At 36.0% G+C, this 24,250-nt stretch overlaps 1 long non-coding RNA gene across 2 annotated transcripts in view; it reads right to left on the bottom strand.

Annotated features, from left to right (window-relative positions):
* Window positions 1–206: 206 nt before the first annotated feature.
* LINC02161 (long intergenic non-protein coding RNA 2161) overlaps window positions 207–24,250 on the bottom strand; it is a 213,063-nt gene continuing 189,019 nt past the window's right edge. For both annotated transcript variants that reach the window (XR_948556.3, XR_948557.3), the window contains exon 3: window positions 207–466. This is a non-coding gene — a long non-coding RNA (long intergenic non-protein coding RNA 2161). The remainder of the gene's footprint in view (window positions 467–24,250) is intronic.

Raw genomic sequence — 24,250 nt, 5'->3', positions numbered from 1 at the left:
CTGATCGTTGTCCCTCCTTTGGTGCTCTCAGGCAATAGATGATTGGCTATTTCTTTACCTCCTGTTTTTGCCTAATTAGCGTTTTAGTGAGCTCTCTGATTGGTCAGATGTGAACTAAGTTGCAAGCCCCATGTTTAAAGCTGGACATGGTCACCTTCCCAGCTAGGCTTAGGGATTCTTAGTCAGCCTAGGAAATCCAGCTAGTCCTGTCTCTCAGTCCCCTCCTCAACAGGAAAACCCAAGTGCTGTTGGAGAGGTTGGCTAATGACTGCTCTAACTGCTTCCTGCTGAATTGGGGTGTAGCAGGGGTTGTGCAGTTGAGATTTCCTCAGGAGGGGTGACTTCGATGTCATCAACATCGGAGCATGGGCTAGCAGGCCGGTCCAAGGGACCACAGTAGATTTTAGTTGTGGACTGCATCTGGGGCTCCATTTGAAGAACCATTCGTAGTTTTACAGCTTTGATTCTGGAAGAGACAAATTTAATAAGGAGGTTAAAGATACAGGGATTGAAATGTACAGCCTGCAGTGCAGGGAATTGTTTGTTTGGCACACTTCACAGGCCCTGACTATCTGCTTGGCAGTTTTGAAAAGGCCTGGGCATTTATAAGTATTTCTGTATGGAACCATCAATATCAATATTAAACTTTATATGAGTTTATACTGATGTTTCCAGCTCTAACTCATTACCACATGGATAATTCTAGAGGCTCCTCCCCTTGCTTATCTGTAAATTTCTGCTGCAACAGTAAGAAATCAGGCTTCCACGATCCATGATCCATTTTATTGATTTTTCAATTCCACATACATGTGTAGCAATATGAGAATTAACCAATACCATTATGGGAAACAATTTTATCAACTACAGTAGAGTACTTATGCACAGTTCCTTTTGTCTTTAGTTGTGTAGACTCCACTCATTTTCAAAGTTACTTACGTCAAGACCTTTCAACTTATCCTCTGTAGTGAGATTATTTCACAAATTTGCAATACAGGAGGGTTTTCTAATCACAGTATGCATTCCTTCCTGAGATCCTTGACCCCCTAAATATTTTATTTTCATCATTTGTACTGTAGCATTCTATCAATTTTCATAAATACATAATACCATGTATCCACTACTACAGTAGTATAAAGAACTGTTTCACTGCCGTGAAGAAATAGCCTATGCTTTATCTAATCAAATTTCCTCACCTTGCTCCCTTGGTAACCACTGATCTTTCCACTTTCACTGTTTGTTACCTTTTCCAGGACACTTAATTGGAATCACACAGTATGCCACTGTTTCATACTGGCTTCTTTCAGTTAGCAATGTGCATTTATGGTTCAACCATGTCTTTTCATGCGGATTGATATCTCTTCTTTTATTATTAAATAATGTTCCATTGTATGGCTGTACCACAGTTGTTTTATCCTAGATTATAATTTTCAGGTAATCTGTTTCATAAAAACTGGTATGTGCTAGGTACACTTTTTGAGTTTTTGCTCATCAGAACATATTTCTGATGCTTTTCAAAAAGATACAAATTTTAATGAGTACAGGATATTTATGAACACAAACTTTCACTCTCAATGATCTGCAATAATACAAATTGATATTTACTGAGAATATTCCACCAATTTTAAAATGTACATTCTTTCATATTTGAATATCTCTGAAATTTTGATGAAACTTGTAATTAATAGCTTCACACAATCAATTTGGGGTGGCACAGTTATGACAGTTTTGTTACACATGCACAAATTTGGTCACAATTTTTTGTCATAATTTTAATTAAGTATATGCATTGATGTTATTGTATATATTGAGTTTAAATGCCATATAAAATGCCTTCTAAATAATTACACATTTCATTAGTTAAATATATAGATGTTGAAAATAAAAATGTCATAGATCAGAAGAAAGACATAATTTGATGTAAATCCAGGCACATTCATTGTTGGAAGAATGATTATACTTCTTTTGTATTTTTGGAACGATTAAACAACATGATTTATGTTATCAAAGAAAGGACAAAACCCTAGAGGACTCACGCGATTAATTATTTATTTTATAGGTACATGTGAACAAATATTGCCTATAACATTCAGAGGAATGCAATTGAAAACATAAGAAACTGCCAAAACCTTGGTGTAGGTTAAATTAATTTCAAAGCAAATGAGAAGCTGGTGTGATGGATTGTCACTCAGGATTATCATTAAGACATATGTCACTGCTTAATTGGCAGTCTTTTGTGTCTTACTAGTAGTAGATAAAATAATGGTGTGCCTTACCACCCTTGAAATCTTATATTTAATAAGACATGGTATTTATGATGTGTTGTGCTATGTGGTCTATGTATTTAGTATCATTTAAGCTACTCTTTCATCCAGTGAGGCAGGTATTAATAATTGTCCTAATTTATTGGTGATGCCACATAGAAAGAATACATAGCTCATCTGAGGTCATAAAGCTAATAACTTGTAGGATTTGGATTGAGATTTTATAGCAGAGCCCATGTTCTTACACACCACTGTAGTGCTGCTACAAAGGTTCATTTCTTTCTGAGAATTACTATTAGTGAGAAGTTTGAAATTGGCTTGGTTTTTCATTTGTTTTTATAATTCAAATATTTTAATTAACTTTCATATTATATCTCAATTCTGCCTGCCTCCTCACCATTTTCCCCAAACAGGTATCCATTAAAATAATGACTAACGTTTTAAAATTGTGGAGATAGGAAAGAATGCCTAATGTTACAAGAAATTTAGGGCAATAAATTAGAATTTGATAGGTTTTTAAAAAGTAGATATATGGGTGGGAGAGAGGATCAAACTAAATGTACCACTTAGAGTCCACTCAAAATTCACTCTTAAGAAATAGACAATAATCAGATGTTATACTCCAATATCACTAACAAGTAGCAATATTTGAAAGTTCAGAAATGCTAGGTTTGTGTGGCAAGTTTCTTAAGCAGAGAAATTTAGGGCATCAGAAACATTTGGCCGAGTGCAGTGGCACACGCCTGTAATCCCAGCACTTTGGGAGGCCAAGGTGGCAAGATCATCTGAGATCAGGAGTTTGAGACAAGCCTTGCCAACATGATGAAACCCCATCTCTACTAAAAACACAAAAATTAGCTGGGTATGGTGGCAGGCACCTGTAATCCCAGCTACTTGGGAGGCTGAGGCAAGAGAATCACTTGAATCCAGGAATTGGAGGTTGCATTGAGCTGAGATAGCACCATTACACTCCAGCCAGGTGACAAGAGTGAAACTCTGTCTCAAAAAAGAAAAAAAAAAGGAAAGAAAAAGAAACATTACTCCTAGCATGGGATTGAACAATATAAAGCTTCAAGATTTTTCAGAGAACTGAATCAGTAATGTGTGGGGAAATTTTTGAAACTCTCTAATAATATGAAAAGAAAAATAATAACATTATAGAAACAATAAAAGGGACTAAGGAAGACTTGGAAGACAAAGAATATAATGTCTGATGTAGGTTTCAAAAAAAGAAGCATCTAAAAAATCATACCAGAATAAAAGGTGATATGGTTTGGCTCTGTGCCCCACCAAAATCTCACTTGAATTGTAAAAATCCCCATGTGTCAAAGACTAAGTGGAGGTAATTTAATCATGAGGGCAGTTTCTCCTATGTTGTTCTCATGATAGTGAGTGCTTCAGCTCCAGCCATGGCTAAAAGGGGCCAAGGTACAACTCAGGCTATTACTTCAGAGGGTATAAGCCCCAAGCCTTGGTGGCTTCCACATGGTGTTGACTCTGTGGGTGCACAGAAGTCAAGAATTGAAGTTTGGGAATCTCCACCTAGGTTTCAGAGGATGTATGGAAACACCCAGATGTCCCTGCACAAGTTTGCTGCAGGGGTGGAGCCCTCATGGAGAACCTCTGCTAGGGCAGTGCAGAAGGGAAACGTAGGGTTGAAGCCCCTACATGGAGTCACCAGTAGGTCACTGCCTAGTGGTGCTGTGAGAAGATGGTCACCATCCTTCAGGCCCCAGAATGGTATATCCATGGACAGCTTGCACTATGTGCCTGGAAAAGCTGCAGGCACTCAACACCAGCTTGTGAAAGCAGCCAGGAGGCGGGCTGTACCCTGCCAAGCCACAAGGCTGGAGCTGCCCAATGCCATGGGAGACCACCTCTTGCATCAACATAACCTGGACATGAGGCATGGAGTCAAATGAGATCATTTTGGAAATGTAAGGCTTAATGACTGCCCTGTTGGATTTCAGACTTTTATCAAGCCTGTAGCCCTTTTGTTTTGGCCAATTTCTCCCATTTGGAATGGGTGTATTTACTCAATGCCTGTACCTCCACTGTATCTAGGGAGTAACTAACTTGCTTTTGATTTTACAGGCTCATAGACGAGAGGAACTAGCCTTGTCTCAGATGAGACTTTGGACTTTGACTTTTGGGTTAATGCTGGAAAGAGTTAAGACTTTGGGGGTCTGTTGGAAGGGCATGATTGTATTTTGAAATGTGAGGATATGAGATTTGGGAGGGGCCAGGGGTTGAATGATATGGTTTGGCTCTGTGTCCCCACCTAAATCTCACCTTGAATTGTAATAATCCCCATGTGTCAAGGGGGGAACCAGGTGGAAGAAATTGAATCACAGGAGCAGTTTCCCTCATGCTGTTCTTGTGATGGTGAGTGAGTTCTCATGAGATCTGATGGTTTTATAAGCCTCTGGCATTTTCACTGCTGGCACTCATTCTCTCTCCTGCTGCCCTGTAAAGAGATTCTTCCACTGTGATTGTTTCCTGAGGCCTCCCAGCCATGTGGAACTCTGAACCAATTAAACCTCTTTTCTTTATGAATTACCCAGTCTCAGGGATTTCTTCATAGCAGCATGAGAATGGACTAATACAAAAGGAGAAAACAATGATATAAATTATTTAATTCCAAGTATTTATAAATTTAGATAAAATTAATTAGAAGTTACTAATACCTAGATATAGGTTGGTGAAATGTAGAATGCTTAAAACTATCCCAAAAGCATCATGACAAGAAATAATGTTATTTATAAAGGAAGAAAATTATGGCTTGCTTAGGACTCACATTAAACATGTAGCACTGGATAATTTTCTCCACTGACTGCTTTTGTTGCAGACTATTTTTTCAAGGATGGTTGTGTAGTGAACAGCTTTGAGAGATAGAAATATTGTCTCCCTTTGGAGCAAAAGGCAGTTTGCACATTTTCCACATTAAAAGATTTTGGCTTTCTAAATTCATTGCTCTTCTCCTATAATACAATCTATTGCATATGCAAGAGTTACCTGGCCCTCTCTTCTGTGTGTTATGAGAATTTGGTCTCTGGAACAGTACAAGAAAATTATGATACTCTAATTTCTGTGAGTAATAAAGGTCTTTTTTTTTTTTTGACCCAGGGGTATTGTGTGTTTTACCAGCATTTGGGAAACTTCACCAGTCTGACTAGCCTAACTTGTCAGCTTTCAGAAAGGGTAAAATCTTAGATTCTTTATCATTCTTGACAAAACCAATTGAATTTTTTTAGTTATAACCCCCATAAAAGCCATTTTAGATGTAACATAACTCAGAAGACCTGTCACTGTTTTCCTTCCAGCAATATTTCATAAAAAACACTAAAGCTGGATGAAAGTTACAAAATAAACATTTTATGTATTGATAAGTCATAGTATACCATGATTGTTAATGAGATTGAGACTATTTAAGTATAAAGTAATTAGAAATAATACTTGTATATATGCTTAATAGAAAAATAAATTTTAGAAGAAAAACCACATAAAATAAAAAATGATTACTTAATTATGAGTCCTTAGATCAAAAATTCCAGTAGTGCTAACAGAAATTTGGAGGTGAGTAGAGGAGAAAAAAGGTGGGTAATTTTGAAAATGTCCTTATTTTTAATAAAAGATAGTTTTAACAAGTTTGCATACATTCTTAGCATCCAATCTGGTATTTTAAAACTTAAAAAATATAAACAAGAAATTGATAGAAAAAGAAATTTTAGTGGCCAAAACCTATTAGGAAAGGGGCAAACTTAGTAATAATAAGAGAAAGGCAAATACAAAATTTAAAATACAATAGTCAGATTGTAAAATAATTGTCAAAGTATTGACAGTATCCAATGCTGATTAAGATGTGGGTTCTCCAGAGAAATAGAAACAATGGCATATATATAGACATATAAGATGCGATTTATTATGCGAATTGGCTTATGCAATATGGACTCTTAGAAGTCATACAATATGCTATCTGCAAGCTGGAGAACGAGATAAGTTGATACAATAATTCAGCTTGAGTATGAAGGCCTAAGAACCAGAGCTCCCATGTCCAAGGATAGGTGAAGATGAATGTCTCAGCTCCAGGAGAGAGAGAGAATTCACCCTTCCTCCACATTTTTGTTCTATTTGGGCCCTCAATGAATTGGATGATGCTAGACTACACAGAAAGAGTGGATCTTCCTTACTCAGTCTACTGATTCAAATTATAAGCTCTTCCAGAAACAGTCTCACAGACCCACCCAGAAATAATGTTTTGGAAGGTATCTGGGTATTCCTTAGCCTAGTCAAGTTAGCATATAAAATTAACCATCACATGTGTTGAATGGTGAATCAATCAATATTAATGCCATTGTAATTAGATAAAAAATAGTTTGAGGCCAACTCAGCAGTGTCTGTGCCACTTCCAAATGCATATTTTGACCTGTTAATTACATCTCTAAATTATGTCCCAAATATATATTCATGCACATGCACTTATAAATATATAAACGAATGTGAAGATACTCATGGCCTTTCACTTAAAAGTGTTCTACTTTTCTTCTACAGTAATCAAACTGTAGACAGACACATGGCTTTCCAACTGTTTTCCCTTTCTCAACCTCCTTAATATGACTCTTTCTTACTAATTGAAAGTGAGCAGAAGTGATGAATGCTACTTCTAGAATGGAGGCTTTAAGATTGTCCTGCCACCTCCATGCTCTCTCCACCTCGTACGGCCTATTGTTGGCAGGATCTGAGGAATGGCAGCAACAGCAGCAACCATGTAAATGTTGAAAGGAGATAAAGAATCAAAAAATAATGTGGGTTCTTGATTTACCATGTGGGTCAGAAAGATATATTTTGCATGTTACATTAAAAATTACACAATTATACCTATATCTATGGATGTGTGTTGTATATATATTTATGTGTATATATATACACATATGAGTGTGTATGTGTACAAAAGATTCACTCGAAATTGTATGTGAAAGTTGGAAAGAGCAATATTTGTTTTATTTTATATATTTATATATTGTTTAAGAATGGGGTGTTTGTATTAAGCCCTAGATAAATGCTATTAATGTTGATAAACAAAATAACAAACAAACACAAAATCGCCTATTACAAGCCCAAATATCATAAAGTTATCCACTAGATTGGAATAATAGAACAAGAGAGATTATTAGCAAAACAAAAAATCACACAGAATTTTATTTTATGGCAAAATAATATCTGACAATATAAATTTTCAGAATGTAATACAAATGAAACACTGATAAGTTTTCTTCATGTATCATTCATATACCATTCACGTTTTAAGCAAAATTTGCATTATTACTATATAGCAATATACAATTCAAAGGAAAATCAAGAACATTTTATGTTAATGGAAATAGTTTATAAAAACAGGAATTATGAAAGTCTAAACATAAAATGAATATGTCAAGATATATAATACTGTCAGAAGCAAAAAAACTTGTAAAATTAGTAATGCATTACATATGAAGTAAAAAAGTAGTAATTTATGTTAACATTTCAAGTATAAAAAAGATATAATAAATTATATGTGTGTATAAATATGCATATAGAATTATCTACCATGTCAACACAGAATAAATCTTGATTTTAAACATCTATGGAACACTTTAAGAAGTGATATAACATTTAGTTGAGAAAGACATCCTCAAGAAATTACTAAAAGTCAACAATATTTATACTGCAGCCTTTTACCACAATGTAAAAAAGTTAGAATATAAGAATACATTTGATTATCAATTATAATATTGGTAACTTGTGTCTTTTTTAATTAGCTAGGCTAGAGGTTTACCACTTTTATTAATTTATTTTATTTTATTCATTTATTTTTTTTTTTTGAGACGAAGTTTTGCTCTTGTTACCCAGGCTGGAGTCCAATGGCATGATCTCGGCTCACTGCAACCTCCACCTCCCGGGTTCAAGAGATTCTCCTGCCTCAGCCTCCTAAGTAGCTGGGATTACAGCCATAAGCAACCATGTCCAGCTCATTTTTGTATTTTTAGTAGAAACGAGGTTTCACCATTTTGGTTAGGCTGGTCTTGAACTCCTGACCTCAGGTGACCTGCCCACCTCAGCCCCCCAGAGTGCTAGGATTACAGGAGTGAGCCACTGCGCCCGGTCTATTAATTTTTTTTAAACCTAGCTTTTGATTTTATTGCTTTTCTTTATATTTTCAATTTTTAATTGGTTTCTGCTTTACTTTTTATTTCTTATTTTCTTCTGCTTGCTTCAGGCTTAAATTATTCTTCTCTTTCTTAAAATGTGTACTTAAGATGGAATATTACGTTACTGATTTGAGATCTTTCTTCTTTTCTAATATATGCATTAATGCTGTAAATTTTCCCCAATTACAACATTCACTACGTCATAAATTTTGATAAGTTGAATTTCCATTTTTATTTAAGTCAAAATATTGTTAATTTCTCTTGCAACTCCCTCCTTGACTCATGTATTACTTTACAAGGGCATTGTTTAATTTTCCGGTATTTGAAGATTTTTAGCAATCGATTATTGATTTCTAGCTTCTATTACTTTCTGAAAACATACTATGTATGAATTTTATTCCTTTAAATTTTTAAGGGTGTGTTTTAATGTTCCCAGTGTAATCTATCTTGTTGAATACTCCATTTGTGCTTGAAAAAGATGTATATTCTGCTGTTGTTGTATGAAGCAATCTACAAATGTCAATTGCATAAAGTTGTTAATAGTGTTATTCCAGTCAACTACATTTTTACTGCTTTTCTGTCTGTTTGGTCTGTCAATTACTGAAGAAGAAGTGTTGAAATCTTTTACTATAATAGTGGATTTGTCTATTTCTTTTTCAATTGTCTCAGTTTTAGCCTCTGATCTTAGGTGTCCTGATACTTGGTTGACAAGTGTATACATGTTTAGAATGACTATGTCTTTGTGGAAATTGGCCCCTTTATTACTATGCAATGCTTCTATGTATTCTTCATAATTTTCTTTGTTTTGAAATCAGCTTTGTCCAAAATTAGTGATGCTACTACTGCTTTCTTTTGGTTAGTATTATTTCTCTATGCTTTTACTTTAACCTACCTCAGTCTTCGTAAAGTGGTTATCTTGTAGACAATACGTAGTTGGGCCTAGTTTTTTTTTGCTTTTTACCTACTTAGAAAATCTATATTTTAATTGGTATATTTACAGTATTAAGATATGAAGTAATTTCTCCATATTTGTATTATTATCCACAATTCTTATAACTGTTTTCCATTAACCATATTTGTTCTTTGTATATTTTTTGCCCCTCCTTTTCTGTCTTCATTGATTTTACTTGGGCATTTTATATGATTCCATTGTATCTCTTCTCTCAGGGTATCCATTATAATTCTTTCTTAAAAAATTTGGTTTTACCTAAAATTTTCAATATACATTTTAAACTAATCTAATTCCACCTTCAAATAATATTATATCACTTCATGTGCAGTGCAGGTACTTCTTAAAAAGTAGTCCCATTCCATCCCTCTGATCACTATTATATTGCTGTCATTCATTTCACTTGTCTCTGTGTGTGCTATAATCACTCAATACTTTGCCACTATTATTACCTAACCAGTTATATTTTATATCAATTAATAATACAAAAAAATTTTACTGTATTTTTATCTTTATTTCTTTTTAAAAAATAATTTCAGCTTTTATTTTAGATTCAGGGGATAAGTGTGCAAGTTTATTGTGTGATGCTGAGGTTTGGGGGATGAATGATCCCATCACATAGGTAATGAGCATAGTAGCCAATAAGTAGTTTTTCAGCCCTTGCCCCTGTCTCCACCCTCTAGTAGTCCCCAGTGTGTATTGTTGCCATCTTTATGTCCATGTGTACTCATTGCTTAGCTCCCACTTATAAGTGAGAACATGAAGTATTTGGTTTTCTGTTCCTACATTAATTCACTTAGGATAATGGCCTCCAGCTGCATCCATGTTCCCACAAAGGACATGATTTCATTCTTTTTATGGCTGTGTAGTATTTCATGGTGCATATGCAGTACCTTTTCTTTATTCAATCCACCATTAATGGGCACCTGGGTTGATTCCCTGTCTTTGCTATTGTGAATGGCGTGGTAATGAAAATATGAGTGCATGTTTCTTTTTTTTTTCATAAACTCCATGTTTTAATCTGATTTTTCTGGTTGAACAATATATCATGAATGTGTTTCCATGTCTAGAAGTATATTGAATTTTAACTACTTTTATAATATACTTTGAATATTGTGTGATTTTTTCTTTTTTAAAAATTTTAGTTTAAGTTCTGGAATACAGGTGCGGAATGTGTAGGTTTGTTTTACATGCATATACGAGTGCCTTGGTGGTTTGCTGCACCTATCAACCCATCATCTCGGTTTTAAGCCCTGAATGCATTACCTGTTTGTCCTAATGTTCTCCCTCCCCTCACCCTCTATACCCCGACTGGCCCCAGTTTGTGTTGTCCCCTGCACTGTGTCCATGTGTTCTCATACTTCAATTCCCACTTATGAGTAAGAATATGAGGTGTTTGGTTTTCTGTTTCTGTGTTAGTTTGCTGAGGATGGTGGCTTCCAGCTTCATCCATGTCACTGCAAAGGACATGATCTCATTCCTTCTTCTGGCTGCATAGTATTCTATGGTATATATGTGCCACATTTTCTTTATCAAATGTATCATTGATGGGCATTTGGGTTCATACCATGTCTTTGCTCTTGTAAACAGTGATGCAATAAATATATGTGTGCATGTTTCTTTATATTAGAATGATTTATATTCCTCTGGGTGCATACCCAGTAATAAAATTGCTGGGTCAAATAGTATTTCTGGTTCCAGATCCTACAAGAACTGCCACACTGTCTTCCACAATGGTTGAACTAATTTACATTCCCACTTACAGTGTAAAAGTGTTCTTATTTCTCAACGGGCTCACCAGCATCTATTGTTTTCTGACTTTAATAATCACCATTCTAACTAGCATGGGATGGTATCTCATTGTGGTTTTGATTTGCATTTCTCTAATGATCAGTGATGAGGTTTTTTTCATATGTTCGTTTGCCACACAAATGTCTTCTTTTGAGAAATGTCTGTTCCTATCCTTTACCCACTTTTTGATGGGGTTGTTTGTTTTTTTCTTGTAAATTTGTTTAAGTTCCTTGTAGATTCTGGATATTAGCCCTTTGTCAGATGGAGAGATTGCAAAAGTTTTTTCCCATTCGGTAGATTGCCTGTTCACTCTGATGATAGTTTCTTTTGCTGTGCAGAAGCTCTTTAGCTTAATTAGATCCCATTTGTCACTTTTGGCTTTGATTGCAATTGCTTTTGGGTTTTCATCATGAAGTCTTTGCCCATGCCTATGTCCTAAATGATATTACCTAGGTTTTCTTCTAGAGTATTTATGGTTTGAGGCTTTACATTTAAGTATTTAATCCATCTTGAGTTAATTTTGGTATAAGGTGCAAGGAAGGAATCGAGTTTCAGTTTTCTGCATATGACTAGCCCGTCTTCCTAGCACCATTTATTAAATAGGGAATCCTTTCTTCATTTCTTGTTTTTCTCCAGTTTGTCCAAGATCAGATGGTTGTAGATGTGTGGTTGTTATTTCTGAGGTCTCTGTTCTGTTCCATTGGTCTATAAGTCTGTTTTGGTACCAGTACCATGCTGTTTTGGTTACTGTAGCCTTGTAGCAGTTTGAAGTCAGGTAGCATGATTCCTCCAGCTTTGTTCTTTTTGCTTAGGATTGTCTTAGCTATACAGGCTCTTTTTTGGTTCTATATGAAATTTAAAGTAGTTTTTTTTTAAATTCTAGAAACAATGCCTATGGTAGTTTGATTGAAATAGTACTGAATCTATACATTACTTTGGTCAGTATGTCCATTTTAAAGATATTGATTCTTTGATTCTTCCTACCCATGAGGATGGAATGCTTTTGCATTTGTTTGTATCCTCTATTATTTCCTTGAAAAGCAGTTTGTAGTTCTCCTTGAAGAGGTCCTTCACATCCCTTGTTAGCTGAACTCCTAGGTATTTTATTCTCTTTGTAGTAATTATGAATAAGAGTTCATTCATGGTTTGGCTCTCTGCTTGTCTATTGTTGGTGTATAGGAATGCTTGTAATTTTTGCCCATTAATTTTGTCTCCTGAGACTTTGCTAAAGTTGCTTATCAGCTTAAGGAGTTTTTGGGCTGAGACAATGAGGTTTCCTAAATATACAATCATGTTGTTAGCAAACAGAGACAATTTGACTTCCTCTTTTCCTGTTGGAGTACCCTTTATTTCTTTCCCTTGCTTGATTGCCCTGTCCAGAACTTCCAATACTATGATGAACAGGAGTGCTGAGAGAGGGAAATCCATGTCTTGTACCAGTTTTCAAAGGGAATGCTTCTAGCTTTTGCCCATTCAGTATGATGTTGGCTGTGGGTTTGTCATAAATAGCTCTTTTTATTTTGAGATATGTTCCATCAATACCTAGTTTATTGAGAGCTTTTAACATGAAGGGATGTTGAATTTTATCAAAGGCCTTTTTCTGCATCTATTGAGATGTTCATGTGGTTTTTGTCATTGATTTGTTTATACGATGGATTAAATTTATTGATTTGTGTATGTTGAACCAGCCTTGCATCCTAGGGATAAAGCCGACTTGATCATAGTGGCTAAATTTTTTGATGTGCTGCTGGATTTGGTTTGCCAGTATTTTATTGAGAATTTTTGCATTGATATTTATCAGGGATATTGGCCTAAAGTTTTCTTTTTTTGTTGCTTCTCTGCCAGGTTTTGGTGTCAGGGTGATGCTGGCCTCATAAAATGAGTTATGGAGGAGTCCTTCCTTTTCAATTGTTTGAAATAGTTTCAGAAGGAATGGTACCAGCTCCTCTCTGTATTTCTGATAGACTTTGGCTGTGACTCTGTCTGGTTCTGGGCTTTTTTTGGTTGGTAGGCTATTAATTACTGCCTCAATTTCAGAACTTTTTATTGGTCTATTTAGGGATTCTACCTCTTCCTGGTTTAGTCTTGAGAGGGTTTATGTGTCCAGGAATTCGTCCATTTCTTCTATATATTCTAGTTTACTTGCGTAGAGGTGTTCATAGTATTCTCTGCTGGTAGTTTGTATTGTTGTGGATCAGTGTTTACATCCCCTTCATTATTTTGTATTGTGTCTATTCGATTCATCTCCCTTTTCTTCTTTATTAGTCTAGCTAATAGTTTTTGTTTTTTTGTTTTTCTGAAAAGCAGTTCCTGGATTCATTGATTTTTTTTGAAGGGTTTTTGTTTCTCTACCTCTTTTGGTTCAGCTCTGATCTTAGTGCTTTCATGTCTTCTGCTGCATTTGGATTTGTTTGCTGTTACTTCTCTAGCTCTTTTAATTGTGATGTTAGGGTGTCGATTTGAGGTCTTTCTAGCTTTTTGATGTGGGCATTTAGTGCTATAAATTCCTTCTAAACACTGCTTTAGCTGTGTCCCAGAGATTCTGGGGCATTGTCTCTTTGTTGTCATTGGTTTCAAAGAACATATTGATTTCTGCCTTAATTTTATTATTTACCCAGGAATCATGCAGGTTGTTCAATTTCCATGTAATTGTGTGGTTTTGAGTGAGTTTCTTAATCCTGAGTTCTAATTTGATTGCACTGTGGTCTGAGAGACTGTTATGATTTCAATTATTTTGCATTTGCTGAGGAGTATTTTACTTCAAATTATGTGGTCAAATTTAGTATAAGTGTCATGTGGCACTGAGAAGAATGTATATTCTGTGGATTTGGGGTGGATAGTTCTGTAGATGTCTATTAGGTCCACTTGATCCAGAGCTTCAAGTCCCGAACATCCTTGTTAATTTTCTGTCTTGTTGATCTGTCTAATATTGATAGTGGGGTATTAAAGTCTCCCACTATTATTGTGTGAGAGTCGAAGTCTCTTTGTAGGTCTCGAAGAACTTGTTTTATAAATCTGGGTGCTCCTGTATTGGGTGCATATATATTTAGGATACTTAGCTCTTCTTGTTGAATTGATCCCTTTACCATTAATGTAATGCTTTTCTGTGTCTTTTTTGATCTTTGTTGGTTTAAAGTCTGTTTTGTCAGAGACTAGGATTGCAACAACTGCTTTTTTTTTTTTTTTTTTTTTTTTTGCTTTCCATTTGCTTGGTCAATATTTCTCCATCCCTTTATTTTGAGCCTATGTGTGTCTTTGCACATGAGATTGGTGTCCTGAATACAGCACACCAATTGTTCTTGACACTTTATCCAATTTGCCAGTCTGTGCCTTTTAATTGGGACATTTAGCCCATTTACATTTAATGTTAATATTGTTATGTGTGAATTTGATCCTGTTATCATGATGCTGTCTGGTTATTTTGCACACTAGTTGAGGCATCTTCTTTATAGTGTCATTGCTGTTTATATTTTGGTTTGTTTTTGCAGTGGCTGGTACTGGATTTTCCTTTCCATATTTAGTCCTTCCTTCAGGAGCTCTTGCAAGGCAGAGCTGGTGGTGATGAAATCCTTCAATATTCGTTTGTCTGGAAAGGATTTTATTTTTCCTTCGCTTATGAAACTTAGTTTAGCTGGATATGAAATTCTGAGTTGAAAATTATTTTCTTTAAGAATGTTGAATATTGGCCTCCAATCTCTTCTGGCTTGTGTGGTTTCTATGGAGAGGTCTGCTGTTAGTCTGATGGCCTTCCCTTTGTAGGTGACTTGAGCTTTCTCTCTGCCTGCCCTTAACATTTTTTCCTTCTTTTTCACCTTGGAGAATCTGATGATTATGTGTCTTGGGGTTGATCTTCTTGTGGAGTATCTTAGTGAAGTTCTCTGTATTTCCTGAATTTGCATGTTGGCCTATCTTGGTAGGTTGGGTAAGTTCTCCTAGAATAATATCCTGAAGGTTGTTTTCCAGCTTGGCTCCATTCTCCCCGTCTCTTTCAGGTACTGCAATCAATTGTATGGTTCAGTCTTTTTACATAATCTCATATTTTTTGGATGTTTTGTTCATTCATTTTATTCTTTTTTCTCTAATCTTGTCTGCATGCCTCAATTCAGCAAAATGGTCTCCAAATTCTGATATTTTTTCTTCCGCTTGGTCGATTTGGCAATTGACACTTGTGTATGATTCAGGAAGTTCTTGTGCTGTGTTTTTCAGCTCCATTTTGTCATTTATGTTTCTCTCTAAACTGGTTATTTTAGTTAGCAGCTCCTCTAACTTTTTATCAAGATTCTTAGCTTCTTTGCATTCTGTTAGAACACACTCCTTTAGCTCAGTGTAGTTTGTTATCACCCACCTTCTGAAGCCTACTTCTGTCAATTCATCTGTGTCAACCACCATCCAGTTCTAAGCCCTTGCTGGAGGGGTGCTGTGATTATTTGGAGGGGAAATAAAGGCACTCTGCCTTTCAGTTTTCAGCGTTTTTTTTTGTTGTTGTTGTTGATTCTTTCTCATCTTTGTCAGTTTGTCTAGTATTGATCTTTGAGGCTGCTGACCCTTGGATGGGGTTTTTGTGAGGACTTTTTTTTGTTGATGCTGTTTTTCTTGCTTTCTGTTTTGTTTTGTTTTGTTTTGTTTTGTTTTGTTTGCAATGGTCAGGTCCCTCTTCTGTAGGGCTGCTGCAGTTTGCTGAGGGTTCACTTCAGGCGCTATTCATCTGGTTCACTCTTGTGCCTGGAGTTACCTCTCAAGGAGGCTGGAGAATGGTATCTGATTTTCCCTCTGGCATCTCTGACCTCGAGGAACACTGACCTGATGCCATTAGGAACCCTCCTGTACAGGGTGTCTGTCAACTCCTGTTGGAGGGTCTCACCCAGTTGAGTGCCACAGGGAGCAGGACCCATTTGACGAAACACTTTGACTGTCATTTGGTGGAGGAGTTGTGCTTCACCCCGGGGAAACCCACTCTTCTGGGCTGCCCAGATTGCTCAGAACTAGCAGGAGGAAAGACTAAGTCTGCTGGTCTGTGGAGACAGCGGCCACCTCTCCCACTAGGGGCTCAGGACCAAGGAGATCAGAGTTCCGTCCCTGAACCCCTGGCTGGAGTTGTTGGAGTTCCTGCAGGGAGGCCCTGCCGAGTGAGGCGGGATGGGTCAGGGTCAGGACTGGAGGCACTCTGTCCTCAGTCTGCCACAGCCAGTGTATTAGGCTGTGCGGGATACCTCTCGGGACCAAGCTGTCCAGCCTCCCCAACTCCAGCAGTGGAAAAGCGTGGCCCTGAGCTATAAAGATGGCCGCCACCTTTTCCCTGCCCTGGGAGCTTAGTGTGTTAGGCCGCTATCAGTCCGAGCGTTGGCTGTCGCCCCTCTCCCAAGGAGCCCAAATGGCTTAGACTGCAGGCAGCCACACGTGTGGTGCTGGTCGCCCCTCTTCCTGGAGCTCGGCAGGCTTTAGCAGATTCTAGCTTAGTGGCTGTTGAGAATCTGCGCAGCTCTGTGGTTGGGACCCTAGGCACTGGTGGCATGGGCTCACGGGTGGGGTTTTCCAATCCATGTGTTACAGGTGGAAAAAGCACGTTTTCCCAGGCTGAGTAGCATGCTCACTCACTGCCTTCCTTGACTGGGGTTTGGGGGGTCCCCTGCCCTGTGCCTCTCTCAGGTGGTCTGCTGCACCACACTATTCTTCCTTCCTCTCCCCATGGAGCTGGTCATGCCAGCTGCCTAGTCCATTCTGATGATAGAACATGGATACCTTGGTTGCAGGTGCAGGATTTGCAAGTTGTTACGGTTCTCTTTGATGGGAGCCTCTGATCACTGTTGCTTCTAGTCAGCCATCTTGACCCTGCTCCCAAAATATTTTATTTAACTTTATTTATTTTTTCTTTAATACTCTTCCATTCCTTATGTAGATCCAAGTTTCTGACTTACATAATTTTTTTTTCTGGGAAGAACTTCTTTTAACAATTCTAACAGGGAATGTCTGCTTGAGATTAATCCTTCCAGTTTTTGTTTCTCTGCAAAGACTTTCTTTTTCACTTTTGAAGAATAATTTTGCTGGATTTAGACTTCTAGGTTGGTGTATTTTATATTTCAATATTTTAAATATTTCACTCCACTCTTATGCTTACATGGCTCTCACAAGAAATCTACTGTAATTCTTATACTTGCTTCTCTATACCTGAAGTGCCCCTACCATTACCACCACTGCTTTTTTAAAGATGTTCTTTTCTCTTTGGTTTTCTGCAATTTGAATGTGTTGATTTTGTTTGTTTGTTTTGGTATTTGTCCTTCTTGGTGATCTCTGAGATTTCCGGATCTGTGGCTTAGTGTTTATCATTTATTTTGGAAAATTCTCAACCACTATTTAAATATACATACAGTTTTTTGCTTCAGTGCCTCTCTCTTATCTTAGTGGTATTCTAATTACACATATGTCATACTTTTTGAAATGTTCCCACAGTTCGTGGATATTCTGTTCTATTTATTCGACCCTTTTTTCTTCTTTACCTTGCACTTTGATCTATCTTCAAGCTCATTTATCCTTTCATTAGCCATGCTCAGTCTACTAATGAGTTCATCAAAGGCATTTTTCAGTTCTATTATAGGTTTTCTTTTTCCAGTATATGCTTTTGATTATTTCTTAAATTTTTCTATCTCTCTACATTTATTATCCGTCTGTTCTTGAATCATGTCTACTTTTTCCATGACATCCATTAAATATTAATGATAGTTATTTTAAATTCTCTGTACAATAATTGTAACATCTCTTTCACATATGTACCTGGTTCTGATGTTTCTTTTGTCTTTTTCAGATTGTGTTTTCTTACCTTCTTTTGATATGTCTTCAAATTTGTTGTTGAAAGCCAGACATATTTTATCAGGAACAGGCACTGAGATAAATAGGCCTTTAACATGAGGATTTATGTTAGTCTGAGTAGGACTTGGGCTGCGTTTCCGGTTTTCAGTAGCTGTAAATGCCAGAGGCTTCACATACGTCTAGTGTCCCATCTTGTTTTTGTTTCCCTTCTTGACTTTAACTAACTCTCTCTGTCTTCCTGTCTCTCTTTCTCTCTCTCTCATACTCCAAAGATTTTTCACTAAATATGTATTCCTGTGTTGGCAGGAATATAATTGTTACCAAAAATTGCCAGCTGTTGTCTTGGCTTTTTTTTTTAACCTCAGGAAAGCTTTTGTTTTCCACTTTATTACATCTTTGTCTGTTGCTTCTCCCAGCTCTGATTTCTTTTTCAAGAATCCTGTGATTTTTAGGAAGGATCTCTCCCTGTCTCTCTTTTCAATTTTATCTTTTTTAAAAAAATCCTTTTCCTCTGCTTTTGGGAGAGCTTCACAAGTTTGTCCTCTGCATTACTGATTTGATTTCAGCAATTTCCATCTTTTACTAATAACCTATAAAAGGATCTTAAAAAATGCTACTTTTTGCTTATCTGTTTTTTTCAATCTTTTGGTGCTCTATGTAATGTAAAATATAAAATTGAAATTAATGAAAATAAAATCTAATTGCAGTTTACTGCTTTTTTTTTTCCTATAGATTTTTCAAAATTCACCTTGTGGTTTCCTCATAGCAATATCTTCTTACATAGCACTGTGGTTACCAAGTTGTTTTTTTAAAAAAATCCTAGTTTTGTAATAGACAACTTTTTAGCTATGGTTCTCTCAAGTTTCTAGGATGATGTTTTGTTTTTATTTTATATATACTACATGTTTGTTATTATTATTTAATTATTATTAGTTTAGTATAAAATATGTTCAGATCTAGTAGTTGCAGATATTTTCTTGCCTTTTTTTTTAAATCCACCAACTGCTTGAGTACCAACTGGAATGCCCTCTTCAGCTCTGTAATTGTAAAATTTGACAGGTACAACCTAAGTGTCCAGCAGGCTCTTTTCTGGTGTGTTGGACTAAATTGAGAATCTCATTATATCTCCACAGCTTGGTTCTTGTACATTCCTGATAAACTAAATATGAACTAGACAAAAATTTCCACAGAAATGTATTTCTGGGCTCTCAACAGGTCCATACCTCTCAGAGTGCAAAAATCTACTTTCAATGCTCTGTTCTTGCCAAATTGTGTTATGGAAGTCAAATCTGCTAATAAAGACATACCCAAGACTGGATAATTTGGAAAAGCTGGATAATTTGTAAAGATAAGAGATTTAATGGATTCACAGTTTCACATGGCTGGGGAAGCCTCACAATCTTGGTGAAGGGGAAGGAGAAGCAAAGGCATGTCTTTAATGGCAGCAAGCAAGAGAACATGTTCAGGGGAACTTCCCTGATCTTCACCATCAGATCTCGTGAGACTTATTAACTATCACCAGACTAGCATGAAAAAAAGCTACCCCCATGATTCAATTACCTCCCGCTGGGTCTGTCCCTTGACATGTGGGGATTATTACAATTCAAGGTGATATTTGGGTGGGGACACATACCCAAACCATATCAAACCTCTAAAAGTAACATATATGAAGGATACTTAGACAGAGATATTGTAACTTTCTCAAGAGAAACATCTTTTAGTAGAGAAATGGATGCCTAATTTTTAGACTATAATTCACTTGAACTTTGATGTTATGAACTAGAATGTGTGGGAGGAAAGGTTTTTCCACCTTGTTTCAAAAATATCAGCAGCTAAATATATATAGCTCACTAATCTTGTTCATAAGCCATCTCCCATCCCTCTTGTTTTTCTGGAAATTCTTTCAAGATTCTAAGTAGATCTACCAGTTGAGCCAGCAATTTTACTACTAGATATTCACTCAAAGGAAAAGAAGTCATTGTATCAAAAAAAAAAAAAAAACACTTGCACTCATATGTTTATTACAGCACAATTCACAATTGCAAAGATATGGAATCAACCTGAGTGTCCATTGACCAGTGAATGAAAAAAGAAAATATAATTAGACCACAAATATATGTGTATATCACATATATGTATCTATATATCACACATATATATCACATATGTGTGTGTATATATATGTATATATGTGTGTGTGTATATATGTGTATATGTGTGTATGTATATATATATATACCATAGTATTCCATGGTGTAACACTCAATCATAAAAAGGAATAAAATAATGTCTTTTGTGGAAACTTGAATTGGACTGGAGGCCATTATCCTAAGTGAAGAAATTCAGGAATGGAAAACTAAATACCACATGTTCTACTTACAAGTGGGAGCTAAGCTATGTATATGAAAAGGCATACAGAATGGTATAATGGACATTGGACTCAGAGTCGAGGTGATTGGGAGGGGTGTTAGAGAGCAAAAACTCCCTATTGGGTACAATGCACACTATTCAGTGACAGGAACATTAAAAGCCCAAACTTCATCAGTATACAATTAATTCACATAACCAAAACCACTTGTACCCCTAAAGCTACTGAAATTTTTTAAAAATATTCTGTTAATGGATTGACTACCGGGCTTCATGTTGTGATTGTATTTTTTATGTTAAGTTTTAAAATATATTTTCATATTTATTTTTAATTCTTTTGATATTTAGGAGAACTTGCACCATGGAGTAGAGTATTAAGAGCCTTTAAAAGAGACATAGAATGTCATAAATTTAAATAATTTCTTAAGTCTTAAAATGTCACCAAAATAAGAAAATTGGAGGGAGGGATATTTTCTTTAAAGCAATTCAATTTCCATAATATTATTTTTTTTCTTTTGCCAATATAATGGCATGTTCAACATATATTTATTTTTCTTTTCTTCTTAAATATTTGATGTTTGATATTTCTGTATTTATTCTCCTATATCCTCCCTAGTCTCTTTTATCTTATCTGACAGGCCTTCCAGAAATATAGTCAGACTTTTCTTGTTAATTTTTAATAAGAATACTGATAATAGCCACTAAGCTCAGTAACAGCAAAAATCATAAGTGCCTCAACAATTTTAGGTAAAGTTTAGATTTTTTTCTTGTCCCTTTTCCTTACTTTGAATCTTCTCCCCTTTCCTCCTGTGTTCTCCCTCATTACTCTTTATCTGTCTATGTGCAAACTCAAGTTATTTGGTGTTTCCAACCATCTCATGTTAGAATTAAGACTATTTTCCTATTTCAGTTTAAAAGAACCTTTCCTAGCCACTGCATTCTTCACTGGAAAATGCTAGACACCTTTCAACCTCATGCTGGACAAAAAATAAGCAAAATTAGAATACTTGGAATATCCAGTAATCCCTTCTTCCCTTCACACACATGCACAATAGCATCCTACTTATAATGAGTTGAGAGAAAAGAGACCTGACATGAGTGCTGGTTTAGTCAAATGGGAATGATCTCAGTTTTTCTGCTTATTTTCTGCTCTCATGACCTTTAGGCCCTAACTGCCTTAAGGAATTCTATCAGTCACCACTTGTCCAACTGACAAGTTATATACCACCAGGACCTTATGCCACATTCAATAATATCCTATGGGGGGGCAGAGGTGAGATAAGTATAAGTAGGAAGGGTTAAATTCACGCAAGCAGAGCAATTTCTTTTTACTTGATGAGTCAATAGACAGATAAATCAAATAAACATAATCAGCATGTTTCTTTGCATCTCTTAATATCTATTTTATATTATCCTTCTCTTAGTGCCTCGGGGAGGGTTAATCCATACAGAGATCAATACAGAATTTACTTACTAGATGATCATATTGTAGAAAATATAAATAATACCAAACTTCTTGAGAATTAAAACCATGCAGACTAAGAATATCTATTTCTAACAGTGCAGCAGATAATGTGGTAAAAGAGAAGAGGCTTGTTTAATTTATTCTTAAAAGTTATTTTCAATTTTAAAATAAAATGCAATTTTACATTTAGTTCTGTAGGGAATTGACTTGCCACCTATAAATTATCTATGTTACAAGTCCTGAGAGGTGGTCTCACATTCACTCAGGTATATTTATTTGATGACAAAGATATATCTTAATTTCTTTTATACAACTTATAGAAATTTTGAATCCATAAATAGCAATCATAGAAAATTAATTATTTGAAAGAAACAGTTTAAAATAATGCTGAAACTCTTTTTTCAGTCCATTTTCTCCTGAATTTGCACATTTTATTTTACTGATTACAATCAGCGAACGGCACAACAAAATGCCATGTGTGTGTGCGTGTGTGTGTGTACGCATGTGGGTTATATCCAATTGTGATTCAGAAAAGTATCCTGTGCACAAACAGGCACACACACACACAAATACACACAGAGACACACACACTGCTAGGCTTCCATATATAGAAGACAATGTAGTCCATGTGTTCTAACAGTACAAAAAGACTTATTTCTTTTGGAATAATAACAGAAAAACTTGATTCACTACTTTAGCAGGGACTAACAATCATATTTAAACAAGGCTTCTTACAGCTTCTTTAAATTCTAGATATTTTTCCTCTTGATTGTCTTTGAGGAGACTGGTCTCTTAGTTTGTGCTACACAGAAGCAGAGCTTAAGAAAAGGATTCAGGCTGTACCTGGTTTACAGATGTGTCAGGGATGAGGTGTGAGAGGGAACTTCCTTGGTGAGGTAGCTCTCATGGTAATGCCAGTTGTCCAGAGAAGGAGGCAGCCATGAACCATTTGTAGCTAACACTAATGGCAGCTGGGGATGGATGCACCTGCCACTAAATTAATCTCGGTAGAGCACAAACAGTATCCACTACAATTGTATACACTCTCCATTGAAGTAATCAGATACTTTTTGGTGTAATTAATATTTTCCTTGCCTCATTAATTCTTAATTTTCTTAATATTATGATTACTTATTAATAGTTTATTAATAGATTACAAGAGGGTATCAGTGAAACTAGTCTAAGGGGATAGTTTTCACAGACAGTTCCTCCTATTTTATGACTGCTCGAAGCTTCTAGCATTATTCTCCATTCTTCACTGAAGCATTATATTGGTAACTCATAATTTTGCCAGATGGATACTATAAAGATAACATCTGATAACATTACCATTATGTCACCTGGAATTCATTTATCACTATGTCAAATTAATTAAAAATTAATATTTTGTGGAAAATATTTATATCAAAAAGTTTTAGGATGGAATGAATTTATTTCAGAAAATCTCCAAAGGGCCTTTTTATGAAACAGGCGATAAATTTACAAGCTTTTCTATGATTCATTCACTTAAGTTGCCTTAATTCTAAAGGTTATAAGATATTTTTCACTGGATGAGATCAAATATGATGTATTATTTCAATGGGTTTTGAATCTGGATTGATCCATGTACCTCTGATACCAGCATGGAGTAAATCAATATTTCTTAGAATAACTTTTTTACAAACTATTTGCTGTGGCACAGCTTCATGGTACCATACAGGAATAATTTAATTGTCATGGGTAGTGTATTTGTCCGTTCTCACACTGCTATGAAAACTCGAGAGTGGGTAATTTATAAAGGAAAGAGGTTTAATTGACTCACAGTTCCTCAGGGCTGGGGAGACCTCAAGAAACTTACATTCATGGTGGAAGGGGAAGCAAACATGTCATTCTTCATATGGCAGCAGCAAGGAGAAGTGCAGAGCAAAGTGGGGGGAAATCCCCTTATAAAACCATCAGATCTCACGAGAACTCACCCACTATCATGAGAACAGCATGGAGGTAACTGTCACCATGATTCAATTACCTGCCAGTGGGTCTCTCCCGCAACATGTAGGAAATATGGGAACCTCAATTCAAGATGAGATTTGAGTGGGGACACAGCCAAACCATATCAGGTAGGGTGGATTGTTTTAATGTTAAGAAAACGAACATTTAAAATAAATAAAAATATGGCGTTTTGCAAGAAATTCGTTTTAATAAGCACTAACAATTATCACATGCATATGGTAATAGTAAAAAATAATAATACCAAACATTTACATAGAACATATTATGTGCCAAGCAGTGTTCTGAGCCCTTTCAATATATGAACACTTTAATTCTTACAACAACCACATGAGGTTGTATGACTATTATCCCCGTTTCATAGCTGAGAAAACTGAGGTACCATGATTAAGTGACTTGCCTGGGGTCACACTGCAAGTAAGCCATAGAGACACAATGG

This window comes from Homo sapiens, chromosome 5 (assembly GCF_000001405.40).
Source record: "Homo sapiens chromosome 5, GRCh38.p14 Primary Assembly".
NCBI lineage: Eukaryota > Metazoa > Chordata > Mammalia > Primates > Hominidae > Homo > Homo sapiens.
The sequence above is the reverse complement of the archived record's forward strand: the minus strand, read 5'-3'. Positions and strand labels throughout refer to the sequence as shown.